Below are 21282 nucleotides of genomic sequence, written 5' to 3' on the forward strand. Positions count from 1 at the left end.
ATAGTGTATGTAACCTATTTTAGAATGATTCATAAAATACAAATAATAGGCTTATTTATATATTTATACATGTATATTACACATGAAGAATAGTAAAAACAAGTGTGGCAAAATGTTAAGAATTGGTTAATCTGAGTAAAGGACAACAGGAGTTCTCTATTATTTTTACAACTTTTCTGTAAGCTTAAAATTATTTGAAACTAAAAAGTTTAAAAAAAAAAATGGGCCGGGCATGGAGGCTCACGCCTGTATTCCTAGCACTTTGGGAAGCCGACGCAGGCGGATCACCTGAGGTCAGGAGTTCGAGACCAGCCTGGCCAACATGGTGAAACCCCGTCTCTACTAAAAATACAAAAATTAGCCAGTCGTGGTGGCGCGTACCTGTAAATCCCAGCTACCCGGGAGACTGAGGAAGGAGAATCGCTGGAACCCAGGAGATGGAGGCTGCAGTGAGCCGAGATCGAGTCACTGCACTCCAGCCTGGGCGACAGAGCGAGACTCCATCTCAAAAGAAAAAAGAAAAAGAAAAAGAAATACACACTAACATCAAGGAAAAGAGCTTTCACTTAATAACAGAAGATCTAAGTTTGTGCGCTACTTCTGTTTGTTAAATATCCTTCCTTAAGCATCACACTTTTCTCACCTGCAAAACACCATCCCAAACTTACAGAGGTCTCTTTTGATCCATACAAATTATGTGTATGAGAGATCTAACTGTAAATTATTATACAAATGACATTATAATATTAAATACTTAGGAGTTTGCCAAAATAAAGAATGGAGTTCGTTTTCTTAAGGTACCGTACACATTAACTACAGTTATAACAAACTACGGAATAAGCGGTAGTGGTGTAAACGGTGTTCCTTAAAGGAAGGTAATGTTTTTTGCCCTGTTCCGTCAAGTCTTAAACGCTTGACATTTTAAAATAGTTTTAAACCCTTTCCGGAATTAGAAGTGGTATTTCGGACCGTGAAGTAACCGATCAGCCATAAGTGTCCCATCTTTAAGGCCTGCTCTTTTACCCGTCTTGCAGAAGTTCTTCCGAGAGTGGGCCCGAGACAGCCTCCCGCCCGAACTAAACTCTCCGCAGCGCTTCCGGCCCTTGGCCCCGAAGTCTAGAACCCTGGGCCGGCCGCAAAGGAAGGTCTGCCGCGCATGCGCGCCCCGGCGCAGCCTATCCGGAGCGATCCATCTCGTTACGTCACCACCAGCCTAGCTCGGACGGCAAGCGGCGGGAGATTTTCAAAATGGGAGCCCAGAGGCACCGCCCAGGCCTCGGAAGGTGTCAGGGAGAACTTTCCGTGGTTTCAGCGTCGTCGCCTGGAGCGGCGGTTTAGAGAGCCGAGCCTGATGGGCGCCAAGGCCGGCTGGCTGCTTGGAGCGCTGCCTCGAAGGGACTGCGTGAAGGAAGCTAATCCGGAGAACCCAGGCCAGAGCCTGGAAATATGGCGACCTGCATCGGGGAGAAGATCGAGGTGAAAAGACTCGGCAGTCTGCAGCGGGGCGGGTGGGAGTAATTGTGGGAGGACACGAGACCGCTGTGGGAAGGGGAGCGAACGAAGCTAACGGCTGCGGGGCGGGCACCGAGGTGCTTAGGGAGGGTCCCAACGGCCCAGACCCCTGCTGTTTAGGGGCGGAGCGGCCCGCCCCTCAAGAGACAAGAGTAGGGAAGGCGGGACAGGTGAGTCCCTCCCCGCCCGGCAGTGTCCCGAGGCACTGCGGCTTTCTTTCAGCAATCCCGCCCGAGCTACCGCGTTAGAGCAGGGCAGGGCTACCTCCCACTTCTCCAAGGGGATGGCGGTTATCTCCGGCGGGAGCTGCGGCGGGATTCTGACCGAGCCCTCCGCTCCCGGGGATTGGCTGGAGATGGGAGGAGGGCGCTTAGGCTGCACTGAGGTTGAGGAACCAGATCACTAGGGTGCACCATCACCCTGAGCTTCCAGTCCAGCCTGGAAGCGCAGGTATCCCCGCACGGAGTCAACATGCCTTCCACCCTAGACACCTGCTGCATCGAGGTGTAATACCCGCTTGAATTTTGTCAAATTCCCCACTCGATCCATTTTATCTTCTTTTTCCAGCCCCTTCCCATCTTCCTTTCTACTGTGAGTCATCACACATAATCTTTAATTTTAACTTTTAAGGATTTTAAAGTTGGAAATCTGCTTGGTAAAGGATCATTTGCTGGTGTCTACAGAGCTGAGTCCATTCACACTGGTTTGGAAGTTGCAATCAAAATGGTAAGAATAAACTAATCAACTTCTCTCCTGTACTTTGCAAGTAACTAGAGAGGTATCAGAGATGTCAGAAACTCCTTGTCTACTAGCCTTTCCTTTGATTATAGTGTAAGGAACACTTTACATAGGCAGAAGACAATAGTGCCAAGTCCAGCCGTTGAACTTAAAAATATTTTAGGAAAGCCTTGACCTTGCTTAAGTAAGTTTTATCTTCATTAATGTTCAGTAGACCTCGTATGTGGTGTAATTATCCATACTTGGAGTAATGAGTAGAAATCAACTAACAAATAATTTGTTTATAGTTCACTGTGTATAATTTTGTATTTCCCTGTAACATACAAAATATTATTCTTGATTGTTAGAAGTCAGCCTAATAGGAGTAACATAAACATAAGCAAATTAAGAATTATTTGTCAGCCGGGTGGGTGGCTCACACCTGTAATCTCAACGCTTTGGGAGGCTGAGGCAGGTGGATCACCTGAGCTCAGGAGTTTGAAAACAACTGTGCAACATGGTGAAACCTCCTCTCTACCAAAAATACAAAAATTAGCTGCTGCTGGGCACGGTGGCTCACGCCTGTAATCCCAGCACTTTGGGAGGCCGAGGCGGGTGGATCACCTGAGGTCGGTAGTTCAAGACCAGCCTGACCAACATGGAGAAACCCCATCTCTACTAAAAATACCAAATTAGCCGGGTGTGGTGCTGCACACCTGTAATCCCAGCTACTCTGAAGGCTGAGCAGGAGAATCGCTTGAACCCGGGAGGCAGAGGTTGTGGTGAGCTGAGATCGCGCCATTGCACTCCAGCCCAGGCAACAAGAGCTAAATTCCCATCTCAAAAAAAAAAATTAGCCAAGCGTGGTGGCATGTGCCTGTGGTCCCAGCTACTCAGGAGGCTGAGGTGGGAGGATAGATTGTGCCTGGGAGGTTGAGGCTGCAGTGAACTGTGATCATGCCACTGCACTCCAGCCTAGGTGACAGTGAGACCCTGCCTTTAAAAAAAAAAAATCATTTATCTAAACCACTTAGAAAAAGAACTGGAGGTTTTGCTCTAAAATTTGCCTGAATTGGGATTTTTTTTTCTTAATAGTTAGGCTAGTTGTGCTATTAGATTATTTAAATTGAGATAGGATATTAGAATTAATTGGTCAAACTTTTACCAAGCACCCTCTCTGCCGAGCACTCTGCTAGGTGCATGGGGAAAACAGATAACAGTAGGTTGACCACAAAGACGTATAAAAGGACTTCAGTCTATTTTAAAGTATACTTTATTTTCAAAGTTCACTTTTAAGCAGTTTATATTTGAAAGTCTGTCAACATTTAAACCTGTTATTTTTAGATAGATAAGAAAGCCATGTACAAAGCAGGAATGGTACAGAGAGTCCAAAATGAGGTGAAAATACATTGCCAATTGAAACATCCTTCTATCTTGGAGGTAAGATATAAATTTTGTAGAAGTGACCAAGGACACTGAATTTTTGTATATTTTAATTTATTATGCCCTTTCACATTTCAGCTTTATAACTATTTTGAAGATAGCAATTATGTGTATCTGGTATTAGAAATGTGCCATAATGGAGAAATGAACAGGTATCTAAAGAATAGAGTGAAACCCTTCTCAGAAAATGAAGGTAGGTGTGTGGTTTTTTTTGTTTGTTTTGTTTGGGTGGATAAAAGTTTTGCATTTTAAAGTGTAGTTTTGAGGAATATGCTATTTTATAATATATAGTAAAACTGTTTGAATTATTACTTTAAGCTAGAAAAGGAGATTTCCTACATCCCAAGCTGCTAATTCTTAAAACAATTCAATTATTACGGTAGTAAAGTAAGAAATTTGTTATCCTTCTGTCCTTAAAACCACATTTTAAATTAAATTATTGGTAGCAGTTTACTGTGTATCTTTTCAAATGTAGTAACCTTTTTAGGATGTCATTGGTGACTATAAAGTAGTTCTAAATCAAGCATAAATAGCCATTGAAACTGTTTATTATAGAAAACATGAAACATACAGGTAGTGTGCTATAATGAGTCCCCTGAACTTAACACTCAGCTTCCAAAACTAGTGACTCATGGTCATATTATTTCATCTTTACTGTTTTTACTACCTTGATTTTCCAAAGTATTTTGAAGCAAATTATAGACATATTTTTAACTAGAAATATTTCAAAGTATAGACTTCTTTAAAAACGTAGCCACAAAGTCATTATCACACCTAATAATTATTTACTATCAAATATATAGCTTCAGACTTCCTCAATTTCTCATAATTTTTTGCAGTTCAAAGCAGAACCAAATAAGGTCTATACATTGACACAAATGATTGTTTTCAAGTTATCTTGCTCTGCTAACTGAGATTACAGACAAGCTAACAGAAGTAGTTGCTGATAGGCTTCTTGTACATCTGAATCTATATAAGCCATTTGGAAAACAATTCGGACATATGTATTTAGAGTTACGGAAATATTTATATTCTTTGACTCAGATTCCATTGTTGGAAGTTTATTCCAAAGAAATAATACAAATTGAAAAAAAATTGATACTCATCTTGATAATGACTACTGCAGTTTTTTATAATACTTCATTAAAAAAGGCCTTATTAGGCTGGGCTCAGTGGCTCACGCCTGTAATCCCAGCACCTTGGGGGGCTGAGGCACGTAGATCACCTGAGGTCAGGAGTTCGAGACCAGCCTGGCCAATATGGTAAAACCCCATCTCTACTAAAAATGCAAAAATTAGCCGGGCACGGTGGCTCATGCCTGTCATCCTAGCTACTTGGGAGGCTGAGGTGGATGGATCACAAGGTCAGGAGATCAAGACCATCCTGGCTGACATGGTGAAACCCCGTCTCTACTAAAAATACAAAAAAAATTAGCTCGGTGTGGTGGTGCTCTCCTGTAATCCCAGCTACTCAGGAAGCTGAGGCAGGAGAATTGCTTGAACCCGGGAGGCAGAGATTGCAGTGAACTGAGATTGTGCCACTGCACTCCAGCCTGGTGACAGATCAAGACTCCATCTAAAAAAAAAAGCTTACAAATTGATTACTTGGGAAAGTTTGGGAGACATCGTTGGAACTTTAGCTTTTTCTTTTTTTTAACAATTAGAAAATATGTATGAATCGTTTGTGCAATTGTTTTTCTTAATTGCTATGGTTACCCTAATGACTCTCAGTTGCTAAAAAAAAAGTAGGCTTCTCTTAACTGCATGTAAAACGCTCATCAGTTGGAAATAACGAAGATTAAAAGGAATGCCTAGTTTTCTTAAAGGTTAATATGATAGGCCAGGCGCGGTGGCTCAAGCCTGAAATCCCAGCCCTTTAGGAGGCCGAGGTGGGTGGATCACGAGGTCAGGAGATTGAGACCATCCTGGCTAACACAGTGAAACCCTGTCTCTACTAAAAACACAAAAAATTAGCCAGGCACGGTGGCGGGCGCCTGTAGTCCCAGCTACTCGGGAGGCTGAGGCAGGAGAATGGCATGAACCCGGGAGGCGGAGCTTGCTGTGAGCCGAGATCGCGCCACTGCACTCCAGCCTGAGGGACACAGCAAGACTCCGTCTCAAAAAAAAAAAAAAAAAAAAAGGTTAATATGATCTCTTTAGAGGGGTGTGTTGGTACCACTCTGATAATTGCTGGTAATTGAAGTGGCTGGTAAATCTAAGCTCCAAGCCACTGTTCTACTACAGTGCTCTAGAATATTTACCTGGGTTTCATAATGTATACTAAATACTAGATACTGAATCTTCCAGAGTTTCTAAATTGTAAATTCTCTTTTTTAAAATCCTAACAGCTCGACACTTCATGCACCAGATCATCACAGGGATGTTGTATCTTCATTCTCATGGTATACTACACCGGGACCTCACACTTTCTAACCTCCTACTGACTCGTAATATGAACATCAAGATTGCTGATTTTGGGCTGGCAACTCAACTGAAAATGCCACATGAAAAGCACTATACATTATGTGGAACTCCTAACTACATTTCACCAGAAATTGCCACTCGAAGTGCACATGGCCTTGAATCTGATGTTTGGTCCCTGGGCTGTATGTTTTATACATTACTTATCGGGAGACCACCCTTCGACACTGACACAGTCAAGAACACATTAAATAAAGTAGTATTGGCAGATTATGAAATGCCATCTTTTTTGTCAATAGAGGCCAAGGACCTTATTCACCAGTTACTTCGTAGAAATCCAGCAGATCGTTTAAGTCTGTCTTCAGTATTGGACCATCCTTTTATGTCCCGAAATTCTTCAACAAAAAGTAAAGATTTAGGAACTGTGGAAGACTCAATTGATAGTGGGCATGCCACAATTTCTACTGCAATTACAGCTTCTTCCAGTACCAGTATAAGTGGTAGTTTATTTGACAAAAGAAGACTTTTGATTGGTCAGCCACTCCCAAATAAAATGACTGTATTTCCAAAGAATAAAAGTTCAACTGATTTTTCTTCTTCAGGAGATGGAAACAGTTTTTATACTCAGTGGGGAAATCAAGAAACCAGTAATAGTGGAAGGGGAAGAGTAATTCAAGATGCAGAAGAAAGGCCACATTCTCGATACCTTCGTAGAGCTTATTCCTCTGATAGATCTGGCACTTCTAATAGTCAGTCTCAAGCAAAAACATATACAATGGAACGATGTCACTCAGCAGAAATGCTTTCAGTGTCCAAAAGATCAGGAGGAGGTGAAAATGAAGAGAGGTACTCACCCACAGACAACAATGCCAACATTTTTAACTTCTTTAAAGAAAAGACATCCAGTAGTTCTGGATCTTTTGAAAGACCTGATAACAATCAAGCACTGTAAGAATAATTCTATCAGAGGCATTTTGTTTTTTGGTAACATTATACTAGTATAAATATGAAGCTGCATGTAAGCGGGGGGATACCAGGGAAATGAATGTCTAAAAAAAAAAACCACTGTCATGATTTTGACCTGTGGTTAACAGTCTTAACAGGAGTGTGTGTGTTCATGAATGTGTTTATAAAATTGTTTAATATTTGGAAATTTTTAGCCTCATTTTTTAATTTTATATGGAGTGAGTCTCCAGTGCAAAGTATCATATATATTAGTCATGCCTTACCCCCTAAAGTACTTAATAATAACTGTATACATAGATAGAAAAGCTGAGATTGAGTGGTCATAATTCTGACTGCTTCCAATATGAAAACTAATTTTCAGTGACTGTATTGTGTGTTTTTTTTCTTTTTCTGTTCATTTTGTGATTTTTATGCTTAAATTATAAGAGGGCAGTAGCCATACAGAAATGCTGTCAAAGTGCCCTGGGCATTTTGGCATGGGAGTTTAGCTTTTTAAAGATAGCATAGTTATGCCAATATTGTTTTCTATAGTTATTCTAAAATGTTCAGGTATTCAAATCAGAAGAAATCCTTCTCTAATATTTTTACCTTAAAAAGTTACCTGATAATTTTTTATTAGTTTATGGGATTTTTTTGTTTGTTTGTTTAGCTCCAATCATCTTTGTCCAGGAAAAACTCCTTTTCCATTTGCAGACCCGACACCTCAGACTGAAACCGTACAACAGTGGTTTGGGAATCTGCAAATAAATGGTGAGTTTTTAATGGAGTATTTAATCAAGAATTAATTACTTGGAAACTTACCAAGCATTGCAGTGTTCTATTTGAGATTTTTAAAGAAAATCATTTTCTTGCTTGGTGCAGTAGCTCATGCCTGTAATCCCAACACTTGTGAGGCCAGGACTGGTGGATTGCTTGAGGGCAGGAGTTCAAGACCAGTTTGGGCACATAGCAAGACCCTGTATCTACAAAAAATAAAAAATTAGTTGAGTGTGGTGGCATGTACCTGTAGTCCCAGCTACTTGAGAAGCTGAGGCAGGAGGATTGCCTGAGCTCAGGAGTTCAAGGCCGCAGTGAGCTATGATCACACTGCACTCCAGCCTGTGTGACAGAGAGAGAGACCCTGTCAAAAAAAAAAAAAAAAAAAAAGCATTGGCCAGGCGTGGTGGCTCATGCCTGTAATCCTAGTACTTTGGGAGGCCAAGCCAGGCAGGTAACTTGAGGTCAGGCATTCGAGACCACCCTGGCCAACATGGTGAAACCCCGTCTCTACTAAAAATACAAAAATTAGCTGGGTTTGCTGGCACACACCTGTAATCCCACCTACTCGGATGGCTGAGGCACAAGAATCGCTTGAACCAGGGAGACAGAGGTTGCAGTGAGCTGAGATCACGCCACTGCACTCCAGTCTAGGTGATAGAGCTAGACTGTCTCAAAAAAAAAAAAAAAAAAAAAAAAAAAAAAAAAAAGCATTTTCAGTACGTCTCAATAAAGCTCTGTTACAATATTTGAATATTTGCTGTAAGTCAGCCACTGTCCTTAATGTTTAACATATATTAAGTTCTCACAAAAAAACATGAGGAAGATACTGTTATTATCTCCGTCTTACAGATGAGGAAACTGGGTACACAGAGCTTAATTTGCCCAAGCTATGTGACCATTCAGCAGAGGAGCCAGGGTTCGAACATAAGTAGTCTGGCTCAGAGACTTTATTCTTAACCCCTGCTCTTGCAGCCTCTCTATAATCAGCACCTTCTATCAGTGCCCATAAAATAATGAAAAGATGATTGACCTTATTTTTAAGTGGAAGCTGATAAGGACAGTATAGGGTACCAATGGGACCTCACACTAAAGTACAGAGCTACTAAAACCTAAATATTTTTAAACAGCTATCATCCAAGTCATGTTGTTTATAATACAGAGTTTGAAGGTTAAACATTCCTCATTAATGAACATGACAGATTCACAGAAGGTGAATTGGGAAATAATGATGGAAAAAAGAATAAAAGAGACATATGGAGAGGAGGAGATCATTTTTTACTAAGTATCGTATTACCTCATAGACAAAAAGCAAATAACACAGCTGTAATTTAATCAGAGAGTTGTATGTTATCTTGAGTCTATTCTCTTTTTTTAATGTATATTATTCTCAGAAGCCCAAAAGGAAATTAATCTTTTTATTTATAGTAATTAGAGATGATAATTCAGGTTTGTTTTTTAAACTATAAAACTGCCACATACTTAATTTTGCACATCTGTTGTGTTTACAGATACTTATATTTAGTAACACAGACTTGTCTGAGATGGAGAAATAACCTTGTTTATAATAATCCAGTAGTGTTCCTGCAATTTTTCAGTATATTATTTGATACAAAATACTTTCTGTCATAAGGAGAGTGGGGGGAAAGCACTAAAAAGTCATTTAAGAAAAAAAATATAATTCAAATTTTTAGTTTAGCATTGAAAAATTGCCTTACCAAGTTTTATATAATCTGATCATTTAAAGCCTGTAAAAGATACTGTTCTGTATGTGAACTTTAAAACCATACAAAATAAAAATTGGTAAACTTAATTACTTTTTTAAAAAATGCTGGTGCAAGTACATGTGTAATATTAAATATTAATGTTAAAGCTGTTCATATAGTGTTTTTGCTTTTAGTTGCATATTTTCATTAATTGCAGGTATTTCTAAGTAAAGATGGGCTAGACAGTTCTTAGCTTAAAGAGAGTAAGTTTATATATTTTTCTCATGTAGAATGATTACTTGGGAACTCAAATCTGCTTTTGTTGGCACATTGGCAGTTGCATGCTTTAGGATTAATAGGTGACCATATAGTGACTAGTTTTTGCCTTAATTGAAAAATTAATTTTATGTTAATATCTTTTGTGTCTTAGTCTTAGGAATACTAAAGGTATTTCTTCACGATCTGGTTTAAAATGTTCTTTCAAAGTCATGTCTTAAACTGCTTATTTGTTAGAAAATTATGAGCTCTTATTGTTTTGTTTTTTGTAACTAGAATTCTTTTGTTCAAAAAATGCTATTACAATCAGAGTGACGTTATTTTGTGTCGACTTGTGTTTTTAGTTATTTACTAAATTGCTTCATTCTATGTATATTGTAGCTCATTTAAGAAAAACTACTGAATATGACAGCATCAGCCCAAACCGGGACTTCCAGGGCCATCCAGATTTGCAGAAGGACACATCAAAAAATGCCTGGACTGATACAAAAGTCAAAAAGAACTCTGATGCTTCTGATAATGCACATTCTGTAAAACAGCAAAATACCATGAAATATATGACTGCACTTCACAGTAAACCTGAGATAATCCAACAAGAATGTGTTTTTGGCTCAGATCCTCTTTCTGAACAGAGCAAGACTAGGGGTATGGAGCCACCATGGGGTTATCAGAATCGTACATTAAGAAGCATTACATCTCCGTTGGTTGCTCACAGGTTAAAACCAATCAGACAGAAAACCAAAAAGGCTGTGGTATGTCTGTTATCTTCTTAAGTTACTAAATAACATTTTACTTGAGAATACAATTCTTGAGAACATATTTTTTAGTCCTCTGTAATGTCCTTTTACTTTGGGGTGTATACATGATCAACTTTATTAAAGAGAAAAGAGACTGGGTGTTTATGGAAAAACAGCTCTTATTTCCCTCTATCTTCTTAATTATAGTGACATGATACTGGTAAGTTTTGAATTTTAAATTATTAATTTAAAGTAGATTTGAATGAAAAACATTTTAAAATAATACTGGCTATATGCTGGTTAAAGATTATTTTGTTCACAATTCCAATCAGTGAGCTAATATTATCCTTTGCTTCTATTTTTATTGTTTGTAAATTTAATCCCATCTCAAATTTTAAAAAACTGGAAAATATAACTTTTATTTTTTTAGCTTCTGGAACTAAAGAAAAGGCATATACACATTTAAGTTTAGAGTTTAAAAATTATTGTATGTGAATTGAGAATGGTGTGTGTTTTTTTAATTCTATCTTTATCCTGTTGTTTGTTCCCATTTTACTTCCCATTTCATCCTTGCCTTTGTTTGGCTTGCTATTATCTTTTCAAAGTCCTTATTCTCCACTCTACCTTCTGTTTGCTTTCTGCTCATTGATTATCACTTCACACTTCATTATACATTCTTAACTTTGCACCATATGGTTCACAGTTGTGCTCAAATATACCTCTGATCTGGACTGTTGTAGTGAAGCAGCTTTGATTTTGACTTCAATATTTGTTTCTGCCATGGTTAAGTACTCCTAAGTATTATGTATGTCAGAGCTGTTCTAGTAAACAAAAGAATTATTACTGATTTTGGGTTTTTTTTTTTTTTAGGTGAGCATACTTGATTCAGAGGAGGTGTGTGTGGAGCTTGTAAAGGAGTATGCATCTCAAGAATATGTGAAAGAAGTTCTTCAGATATCTAGTGATGGAAATACGGTAATGTGTAGTTACTTTATTACCTTGCAACTTCAAATTATCGTTTAAGCACGTTTAGCATTCTAATTCATTTTACAATGATGTAAGTTTTTTTAAAATCAGTTTGCCAGTATGATAGTGTCTCTGGAATTCAAAAATTGAAATAGCATATTAAACATATTTAAATAAATTGGTGCAGTGTTAAAAATAATTATATCTAGTAAGAAAATCTAAACTTTTGGTTTAAGTTAAAAAGCAAAAAAATTACTTTTACAGAATATTTAACATTTTTCTATAAAATAATATTTAATGTTACATTTAAACACTTTGTATACGTTTTAGCAAGATATAGTACTGGAACTTAATGGCATGTAATTAGAATTTTAAAAAAATCTTTTGGCAGATCACTATTTATTATCCAAATGGTGGTAGAGGTTTTCCTCTTGCTGATAGACCACCCTCACCTACTGACAACATCAGTAGGTACAGCTTTGACAATTTACCAGGTATGTGAATTTACCAGGGAATAAATTTTGATAGTAGATTTATATGTATATACGTATAAACTCTATATATAGATATAATAAATTATAAATAGCTTCAGTCAAACTTTAGGTCATATCATATTCTTGTACTTTGTTTCTGGTGAGAGTTGTATGCCTTTAATGCAATGTTTATTATTAATATTCTGTGTTATAATGGTACTATATTCTATTTAAAAACTAACTCTAGAACATTAGTCATATGTCTCACAAATGTAATTTGTATACTTGTTTAGAATGTGGCTATAGTTATGTTAAAAAAAATTCAACATTGTGCTTGCTTCAGAGCACATATACTAAAGTTGGAATGTTACAGAGAACATGGCCCCTGTGACTCACAAATTTGTGAAGCATTCTGCATTTAAAAAATAATTCACCATGTATGTGGCTTTTGAGCTTTGAAATCAGTGCTGCTACATAAATGATTATTTATAATTATAGTTAACCAAATTTGACTCCCAGTTTGGTTTCTGGATATTATGGACTATGGACATAAGTACTGAATAGTAAGCCTTCATTGAGGTAACTCTTAGAAAAGAATAAGAAAACCTGTCTAATGTAACCCTATTAGAAATCACAATAAATAGATAAAACTGTATGTCAGGTCAACACTTTCTTCCCTAATGTTAAGTATTTTTTTTCCTTAGAAAAATACTGGCGAAAATATCAATATGCTTCCAGGTTTGTACAGCTTGTAAGATCTAAATCTCCCAAAATCACTTATTTTACAAGATATGCTAAATGCATTTTGATGGAGAATTCTCCTGGTGCTGATTTTGAGGTTTGGTTTTATGATGGTAAGTACCATTTGGAAATGGTAATTTGTTCCTTTAGTTTGTAATTTAGTAGTTACGTATATGTGGGTTTTTAAAATTCAACACAGTCAGTTTTAAAGATGTGTATGTATATAACTATACATATAAATTGCACAGCGGAGTATACATGTCAAATCATATTAATCAAAATTTATCTAGCCTTCCTTTAAACAATTTATCCTATAATATGTATATTAGTCCTCTTTTTCTACTTAGCTCCAGTTTAACTACGTCTAGGCTGATGGTATAAAAATCACATGAAATGCGCAATGTCCTATTTCTTATTAGAAACCTTAAATGGACATATACCAAATTATGAGAATTATAAATGTAGCAAAAAGGATAGGGTTGAGTCTAAATCTATTCTGTAAAGATGAATGTTCTTATTTTCTAAATCTATTCTATAAAGATGAACTATTTTTTAATCTATAAACCTCCTTTAAGGGACGCAAAGCATTCATATCACACAGTACACATATAATTATAGCTATCCTTCAATTATGTTTTTGTATGAATATAGTGATTTTTTAAAATGTAAAAGTATCAGGCTTAAACCAGATATATGTTGGGAAAAAAATGGATGATCCATATTTATTGAATGCTTTGATAGTCTCATTTTATTAATAGTCAATAAATGAATAAAAATGATACCTTGATCCAGGAGCCATTATATACTGGTATGATAATAAATATAAATCTAGGAATATTTTTAAAAAGGATAAGAGAACAGTTTTCTGATTTTTTTTTTTTAGGGGTAAAAATACACAAAACAGAAGATTTCATTCAGGTGATTGAAAAGACAGGGAAGTCTTACACTTTAAAAAGTGAAAGTGAAGTTAATAGCTTGAAAGAGGAGATAAAAATGTATATGGACCATGCTAATGAGGTACATACCTAATTGTAGGTTTTTCATACCAATTAATAATGATTGCAAATGACATAGGTGAAACAATGACAGAAGCACTCTTCTTTTGAAATAGGGTCATCGTATTTGTTTAGCACTGGAATCCATAATTTCAGAAGAGGAAAGGAAAACTAGGAGTGCTCCCTTTTTCCCAATAATCATAGGAAGGTAAATGTCTGAAAATTTTAAACATATGGCTAAAATGTTTTAAAAGTTTGATGTTTATATTATAAACATTCTTTAGTTTTCTGTAAATTGAAAGCTTCAAGGGAATATATTTGGACTTTTCCCCTTCAGAAAACCTGGTAGTACTAGTTCACCTAAGGCCTTATCACCTCCTCCTTCTGTGGATTCAAATTACCCAACGAGAGAGAGAGCATCTTTCAACAGAATGGTCATGCATAGTGCTGCTTCTCCAACACAGGCACCAATCCTTAATCCCTCTGTAAGTAAATATATGTCACTTCTGTACTTTAAACCTTTCAATGATTGCCTGATGCCCTTCTTGTAAAATAGTTTATTGTGGCTTTACTATCATCTACGTACTTTTCCAGCCTCATCCTGAGCCACTTTATCCCATACTATTTATGTTTGAGCGTCAAAGGCCTTCTTTCAGTTCTTTAAACAAGTCAAAGGGCCTTTTCACATGCTGTTCACTTGACCTGGAACTCTTTTCCCCAACCACTTAACTTTATATGTGTAAGTCTTATTTTTCAAGTCTCTGTTTAAATGTTACCTCAATGAGCCCTAATCTCAGCCCTCTGGGGAAAGCTAAGTGTATTAACATATACATATGTAGTTTTTTTTTTTGTTTTTTTGAGACGGAGTCACCCAGGCTGGAGTGCAGTGGCACGATCTCGGCTCACTGCAAGCTCCACCTCCTGGGTTCACGCCATTCTTCTGCCTCAGCCTCCCGAGTAGCTGGGACTACAGGCGACCGCCACCATGCCTGGCTAATTTTTTTTGTATTTTCAGTAGAGACGGGGTTTCACCATGTTAGCCAGGATGGTCTCAATCTCCTGAACTTGTGATCCACCTGCCTCGGCCTCCCAAAGTGCTGGGATTACAGGCGTGAGCCACCACGCCTGGCTAGTTGTTTTATTTTTACTAGTAAAATATCATTAACTGCCTAAATGCTCATGATAGACTCATGATTAAATTTATTATATATTTAATGAACATGGCGATGAAGATTATATAGCAGTGTAGAAAAATGCAACATTAAAGAAATAGGTGTGTATATTTGTGTGTACTCACCCACATACACAAAAAGAACATGCCATGGGATAAAAAGATGAAAGAAATCCACCAAAATGAAAACAGCAATTGTGCAGGAGGGTGGGGGGTTCTTTTCTGTATTTTTCTAATTTCCAATAATGTGGTTATATTTTCGTTAAAAAATGTTTGTTTTTAAAAAAATTAAGCTAATGAAAAATCTCATAATTGTCTGCTTTTGCTGAATGTGGCTTATAAAAATGCTGAGGAATAATATCTTCCTGTCCTTTATTCTTTGTAGATGGTTACAAATGAAGGACTTGGTCTTACAACTACAGCTTCTGGAACAGACATCTCTTCTAATAGTCTAAAAGATTGTCTTCCTAAATCAGCACAACTTTTGAAATCTGTTTTTGTGAAAAATGTTGGTTGGGCTACACAGGTGAGAAGTTTCTAGTACAGTGCATTTTCTCAGTATGAATTTCTTTTCATTTTCACACTGATAAGACAATTACCAAAAAATACAAATTATTGTAATGATATCTTTTTACAAGGAAGTTTTTGTACCTTTTAACATTGGTTATATCATTAAAAATTTTAACTTCTTAAATTTGTATTCAGTTGGAAGACTCCAGACATTGCTGATAAGAGGTTGCCTGCTAGGCTTGGGTGACCTACTTTTGCCATTTGTTTTTAAAGTAGAGGTCATGATAATTACTAATTGTGAAGAGTAGAGTGTGATATCTGGGACGTTTTAAATTTTGGAAATTATTTGTAATCAATATTAGTAGAGTAACTTTCTTTTTTTTTTTTTTTTTTTTTTTTTTTTGAGACAAAGTCTCACACTGCAAGCTCCGCCTCCTGGGTTGACACCATTCTCCTGCCTCAGCCTCCCGAGTAGCTGGGACTACAGGCGCCCACTGCCAAGCCGGGCTAATTTTTTCTATTTTTAGTAGAGACGGGGTTTCACCATGTTAGCCAGGATGGTCTCAATCCCCTGACCTTGTGATCTGCCTGCCTCAGCCTCCCAAAGTGCTGAGATTACAGGCGTGAGCCACTGCCCCCGGCCAGTAGAGTAACTTTCATCTGGCAAAAGAAGAAAAGGATTTTTCCATTAAAAGTCATGTGAAAGCCAGGTGTGATGTCACGTGCCTATAGTCCCAGTTACTCAAGAATCTGAGGTGGGAGGGTCATTTGAGTCCAGGAGTTTGAGGCCAGCCTGGGCAACAAAGCAAGACCCCATCTTTTTTAAAAAGTGAAGTCAATATTGAGTTTCAAACTTATAGAATTTTATGTAGTTGTGAACCTATATGTGTATATTATCTAAAATCTTGAAACTTGGAGAGACTTCTGAGCCTGACACATGTACTTTTACTTAACAGTGAAGTAAATGCAACCTAGTACTTTATGGGGGTAGGTAACATTTGTTGAGCACCTGCTTTGTGGTACCTACCATGTTTTTCACATACTTTGTCTAGTTTATCCCCCAAAATAACCTAGTAAAGTTGTATCTCCTTTTATAGATAGTAAAATTATGCTTCATAATGGTAGATTAACTTGCACAATCCTACACTGTACTCTTAAGTTGGCAGAGTCTAGATGTAAGCCTAGGTGTGTTTGATTTGGCGTCCATGTACTATGCACTTCTCCATTTTGAGTGACACATTGTGACTATTAATGACTAAAGGAAGAAGTTTCAGAGGCTAAAATGTAATATTCTCAGGCCAGGAAAGAAATTCTTGTGGCTTAAGGACAAAGAAAATGTTGCTTTTATTCCCTAAATCTCTTCTTGTTAAGAAATACTAAATATTTCTTGTGGGGGAAAAAAACCAACAACCAAAAAACTTAGAAATCCTAATGGAAATTAATGGGAAACAGGATTCACTTTCTAATAATTTTAATATTGTAATACCTTAGCTATTAAAGGAATAATCTGAAAAAGACATGAATATTCTCAGTGCTCTGCCATCGTAGCCCCAAATTTGTAGTCACTTAGAGAGTTTTTTTTTTAACTGTGGAAAACCTGTTAAATATGTTAAATATTAATACAGAACCACAAACCCTCTACTGTATAGTAATTTTGTGTGCTACTACTGCTGTTTTTTTTTTTTTCTGTGCCTGTTCTTACCCATGCTTATTATTTTTCTAGTTAACTAGTGGAGCTGTGTGGGTTCAGTTTAATGATGGGTCCCAGTTGGTTGTGCAGGCAGGAGTGTCTTCTATCAGTTATACCTCACCAAATGGTCAAACAACTAGGTAAGTTCTTAAAATACTGGTCGAGATTCAGCCCTTTGCTATAATTTCTCTTTCTCTATATGTTGAAATGGATGATTTAATAAAGATACTTCTTTCATTTTGACAATGATCGTGTGATTCTTTAAACTGTTAATTATTCTTAGCAATTCATGTAGTCATTAATGCATATTTTATGATTATCTGTATTAACTCAGGGCAATTGGTATAAATAATCCACTCTAAGAGGTTGGGTTCCTTGTAGCCTTACTGTTCCATAGTGTAACTCGATGGCCTTTTTCAGAAGTAAGGGACTCCTAATTCTAGGTTCAAATAATATACCAAACCTATTTACTTAAAAGAACAGAAAAAAGAAATCTTTAAGATATAACCTGCTTATTTTTCCCAAATGAAAGGCTATATCCCCAATCTAATGTAACGTGATTAATGTTTGAAAGACTTTTTTGAATGTGTATATTCATTCTATATGAAAATATGTGTCAGGCACCAAGCCAAAAATAAAGAATCTGGCAATATGAAAAACAAGGAGTTATTTGCTTTCCTCATTTAAATCAGAACTTACTAAAAGTAGGGTACTGACGATGCCAATGCAGGCGTTCTCTTTTATGAGAAGTGCTTATTGTAATGGAAGTACTTGGGACAAATATAATCTGTAGATACCTACCAACTGCATTTTTGTGTTAAATTTAGATAATGCAGTGCCATCACTTAAATAACTATGTTTCAAGTGAGAGGCTTTGTTAAAAGCTCTTTGAGGTGCTCCAGAAAGTGGAAGGATGCAGATGCAAAGTGGGTAAAACCCTTGTTCCCAGGATACATGTTGACATTTTATTTGCTATGGTCATTTGGAAAATGTTAACATTTAAATAGAAATATATTCATAATGTGTTTAGCTTGGTATTTTTCTGTAGAATTAGGGCTTTTTTTTTTTTTTTTTTTTTTTTTTTTTTTTTTGAGACAGAGTCTCGCTCTGTTGCCCAGGCTCGAGTTAGTGGTGCGACTTGGCTCACTGCAACTTCTGCCTCCTGGGTTCAAGCAGTTCTCCTGCCTCAGCCTCCTGAGTAGCTGAGATTACAGGCATACGCCACCACACCTGGCTAATTTTGTATTTTTAGTAGAGACAGGGTTTCAACATATTGGCCAGGCTGGTCTCAAACACCTGACCTCGTAATCCACCCCCCTTGGCCTCCCAAAGTGCTGGGATTACAGGCATTAACCACCGCGCCTGTCCGGGGCCTTTTAAATTTAATGAGGAATCCAGATTTTTGGCTTGCTTTTGAAATTACGAAGCCAGTTCAAGTTTATCTAATTTTCCTTCTGTTACTTAAATGTGTTTAGAAAATGGTCTGTTTTAAAAGAAAAGAAACTGTATGCTTCACTTGATTTAGGTATCTAATAAATAATTGTTATAATTTTTCTGAGGTGCCTCTTGTTATTGAAGAATTACTGAAAAATATAATGTGCTTTTTGGGACTCTCATGAGAACCAAGTAATTCAGTTACGATTTTGTCTTTTTTTCTTTTGCTTCACTTAGGTATGGAGAAAATGAAAAATTACCAGACTACATCAAACAGAAATTACAGTGTCTGTCTTCCATCCTTTTGATGTTTTCTAATCCGACTCCTAATTTTCATTGATTAAAACTCCTTTCAGACATATAAGTTTAATAAATAACTTTTTTGTTGACTTTCAAGTAAAGTGATTTTTTTTAATTTAACATAAAGTCTTCAGAAAGCCTTTCTATGAAAGAATTTTAACCTATAATGTAAAGGATGTATTCTGAGAGAACAAAGCAGAATGAAACTTGAGTCACTTACTAAATATAGTGGATATAAAATAGAACACCTGACTTTGCTCTTAGACCATAACCCCCGAACTTACTATGTTCATATATTTGTATTGAACAATCTTTTAAAAGCAAAAATGTAAATGATGTGTAGTTTATTTGTGCTTTTATTGTTTTCCCTGCGTCTCAGACATGTTGAGAATCATGGACAAAACCTGCTGGAATTTTGGAATTTTTGAAGATGTAAATAATGTGTATTTATGTTATAAGTAACATATGTAAACATGTATATTTGTTTTATATTTATTTTTGTAACACCAGTGTCTGATGAAACATTTTTGCAAATGCATTTTATAAAAAAATAAATATAGTGATAAGTTACATTATCTTTTGATTCATTTAATTAAATACTTATTTTTAAATAACTTACCAGTAAACTCACTTTTTAAATTTTGTTGCCTGTTGAGGAGCCAATTAAATTTTAAATATTAATTTTGCAAATGTTAAATACATTGTTTCTCTATTATCTGAAAATCTTGGTATATTTTAATGAATTTTTTTAAATTATACATTAAGTTCTGGGTTACATGTGCAGAACATGCAGTTTTGTTACATAGGTATACATGTGCCATGGTAGTTTGCTGCACCCATCAACCGGTCACCTACATTAGGTATTTCTCGTAATGTTATCCCTCCCCTAACCTCCCATCCCCCACAGGCCCCAGTGTGTGATGTTCCCCTCCCTAGGTCCATGTGTTTTTGTGGGTTTGTTTTTTTTTTTTTGAGACAGAGTCTCACTCTGTCGCCCAGGCTGGAGTGCAATGGCACGATCTCGGGTCACTGCAACCTCTGCCTCCCAGGTTCAAGCGATTCTCCTGCCTCAGCCTCCCAAGTAGCTGGGATTACAGGTGCATGCCACCATACCCAGCTAATTTTTGTATTTTTAGTAGAGATGGGGTTTCGCCATGTTGGCCAGGCTGGTCTTGAACCCCTGACCTCAGGTGATCTGCCCGCCTTGGCCTCCCAAAGTACTTGGATTACAGGCATGAGGCACCACACCCAGCCCCATGTGTTCTTATTGTTCAGCTTCCACTTATGAATGAGAACATGCAGTGTTTGGTTTTCTGATCTTGTGATAGTTTGCTGAGAATGATGGTTTCCAGCTTCAAGTCCCTGCAAAGGACATGAACTCATCCTTTTTCATGGCTGCATAGTATTCCATGGTGTATAAGTGCCACATTTTCTTAATCCAGTCTATCATTAAGGGGCATTTGGGTTGGTTCCAAGTCTTTGCTATTAGGAATAGTGCTGCCGCAATAAACATAACGTGTGCATGTGTCTTTATCGTAGAAAGATTTATAATGCTTTGGGTATATGCCCAGTAATGGGATTGCTGGGTCAAATGGTATTTCTAGTTCTAGATCCTCGAGGAATCTCCACACTGTCTTCCACAATGGTTGAACTAATTTACACTCCCACCAACAGTGTAAAAGCATTCCTATTTTTCCACAACCTCTCCAGCATCTGTTGTTTCTTGACTTTTTAATGATTGCCATTCTAACTGGCATGAGATGGTATCTCATTGTGGTTTTGATTTGTATTTCTCTAATGACCAGTGATGATGAGAATTTTTTCATATGTCTGTTGGCTGCATAAATGTCTTCTTTTGAGAAGTGTCTGTTCATATCCTTTACCCAGTTTTTGATGAGGTTGTTTGCTTTTTTCTTGTACATTTGTTTAAGTTCTTTGTAAATTCTGGATATTACCCTTTCTCAGATGGATAGATTGCAAAAATTTTCTCCCATTCTGTAGGTTGCCTGTTCACTCTGATGATAGTTTCTTTTGCTGTGCAGAAACTCTTTAGTTGAATTAGATCCCGTCAATTTTGGCTTTTGTTGCCATTGCTTTTGGTTTTTTAGACATGAAGTCTTTGCCCATGCCTATGTCCTGAATGGTATTGCCCAGGTTTTCTTCTAGGGTTTTTATGGTCCTAGGTCATACATTTAAGTCTTTAATCCATCTTGAGTTGATTTTTATATAAGGTGTAAGGAAGGGGTCCAGTTTCAGTTTTCTGCATATGGCTACCCAGTTTTCCCAACACCATTTATTAAATAGGCAATCTTTCCCCATTGCTTGTGTCAGGTTTGTCAAAGATCAGGTGGTTGTAGATGTGTGGTGTTATTTCTGAGGCTTCTGTTCTGTTCCATTGGTCTATATATCTGTTTTGGTACCAGTACCATGCTGTTTTGGTTACTGTAGCCTTGTAGTAAAATTTGAACT

The 21282-nt window shown here is 37.0% G+C and overlaps 1 protein-coding gene and 1 pseudogene across 14 annotated transcripts, besides 2 other annotated features; both read left to right on the forward strand.

Annotated features, from left to right (window-relative positions):
- On the forward strand, positions 1205 to 19536 carry PLK4 (polo like kinase 4). 14 transcript variants are annotated; one of them, NM_001441371.1, is made up of 17 exons: positions 1205 to 1476; positions 2143 to 2238; positions 3574 to 3669; positions 3751 to 3865; positions 6020 to 6073; positions 6695 to 7040; positions 7708 to 7808; positions 10178 to 10548; positions 11404 to 11508; positions 11891 to 11993; positions 12677 to 12826; positions 13597 to 13730; positions 13825 to 13916; positions 14046 to 14193; positions 15265 to 15405; positions 17113 to 17219; positions 18751 to 19536. In NM_001441371.1, the coding sequence occupies exons 1-17, from the start codon at positions 1447 to 1449 to the stop codon at positions 18851 to 18853; spliced, it is 2292 nt and encodes a 763-aa protein (NP_001428300.1). In that variant the 5' UTR covers positions 1205 to 1446; the 3' UTR covers positions 18854 to 19536. The 14 variants fall into 14 exon arrangements, with proteins under 14 accessions (NP_001428300.1, NP_001428295.1, NP_055079.3 ...); NM_001441366.1 differs by having other exon boundaries at positions 2080 to 2238; positions 6020 to 6938; NM_014264.5 differs by having other exon boundaries at positions 6020 to 7040.
- Positions 1289 to 1528: an enhancer, noted in NCBI's record as "active region_21887". NCBI's record gives its function as "activates an Ori minimal core promoter by ATAC-STARR-seq in GM12878 lymphoblastoid cells {active_cell/tissue: GM12878}" and the evidence as "EXISTENCE:reporter gene assay evidence [ECO:0000049][PMID:35858748]".
- Positions 5214 to 5383: an enhancer, noted in NCBI's record as "experimental_73815 CRE fragment used in MPRA reporter constructs". NCBI's record gives its function as "activates a minimal promoter by MPRAs in K562 erythroleukemia cells, with activity observed for both the introgressed and non-introgressed 4:128806142 variant alleles {active_cell/tissue: K562}" and the evidence as "EXISTENCE:reporter gene assay evidence [ECO:0000049][PMID:34662402]".
- On the forward strand, positions 12303 to 12394 carry RNU6-583P (RNA, U6 small nuclear 583, pseudogene; annotated as a pseudogene).

This window comes from Homo sapiens, chromosome 4 (genome assembly GCF_000001405.40).
Source record: "Homo sapiens chromosome 4, GRCh38.p14 Primary Assembly".
NCBI lineage: Eukaryota > Metazoa > Chordata > Mammalia > Primates > Hominidae > Homo > Homo sapiens.

Excerpts from the sequence above, each read along its gene's own strand:
- PLK4 (NM_001441357.1), top strand. The coding sequence starts at position 1,984 with ATGCCTTCCACCCTAGACACCTGCTGCATCGAG. Across the intron at positions 11,994-12,676 it reads CAGCTTTGACAATTTACCAG|AAAAATACTGGCGAAAATAT; the intron begins GTATGTGAATTT and ends TTTTTTCCTTAG. Across the intron at positions 14,194-15,264 it reads CACCAATCCTTAATCCCTCT|ATGGTTACAAATGAAGGACT; the intron begins GTAAGTAAATAT and ends TATTCTTTGTAG.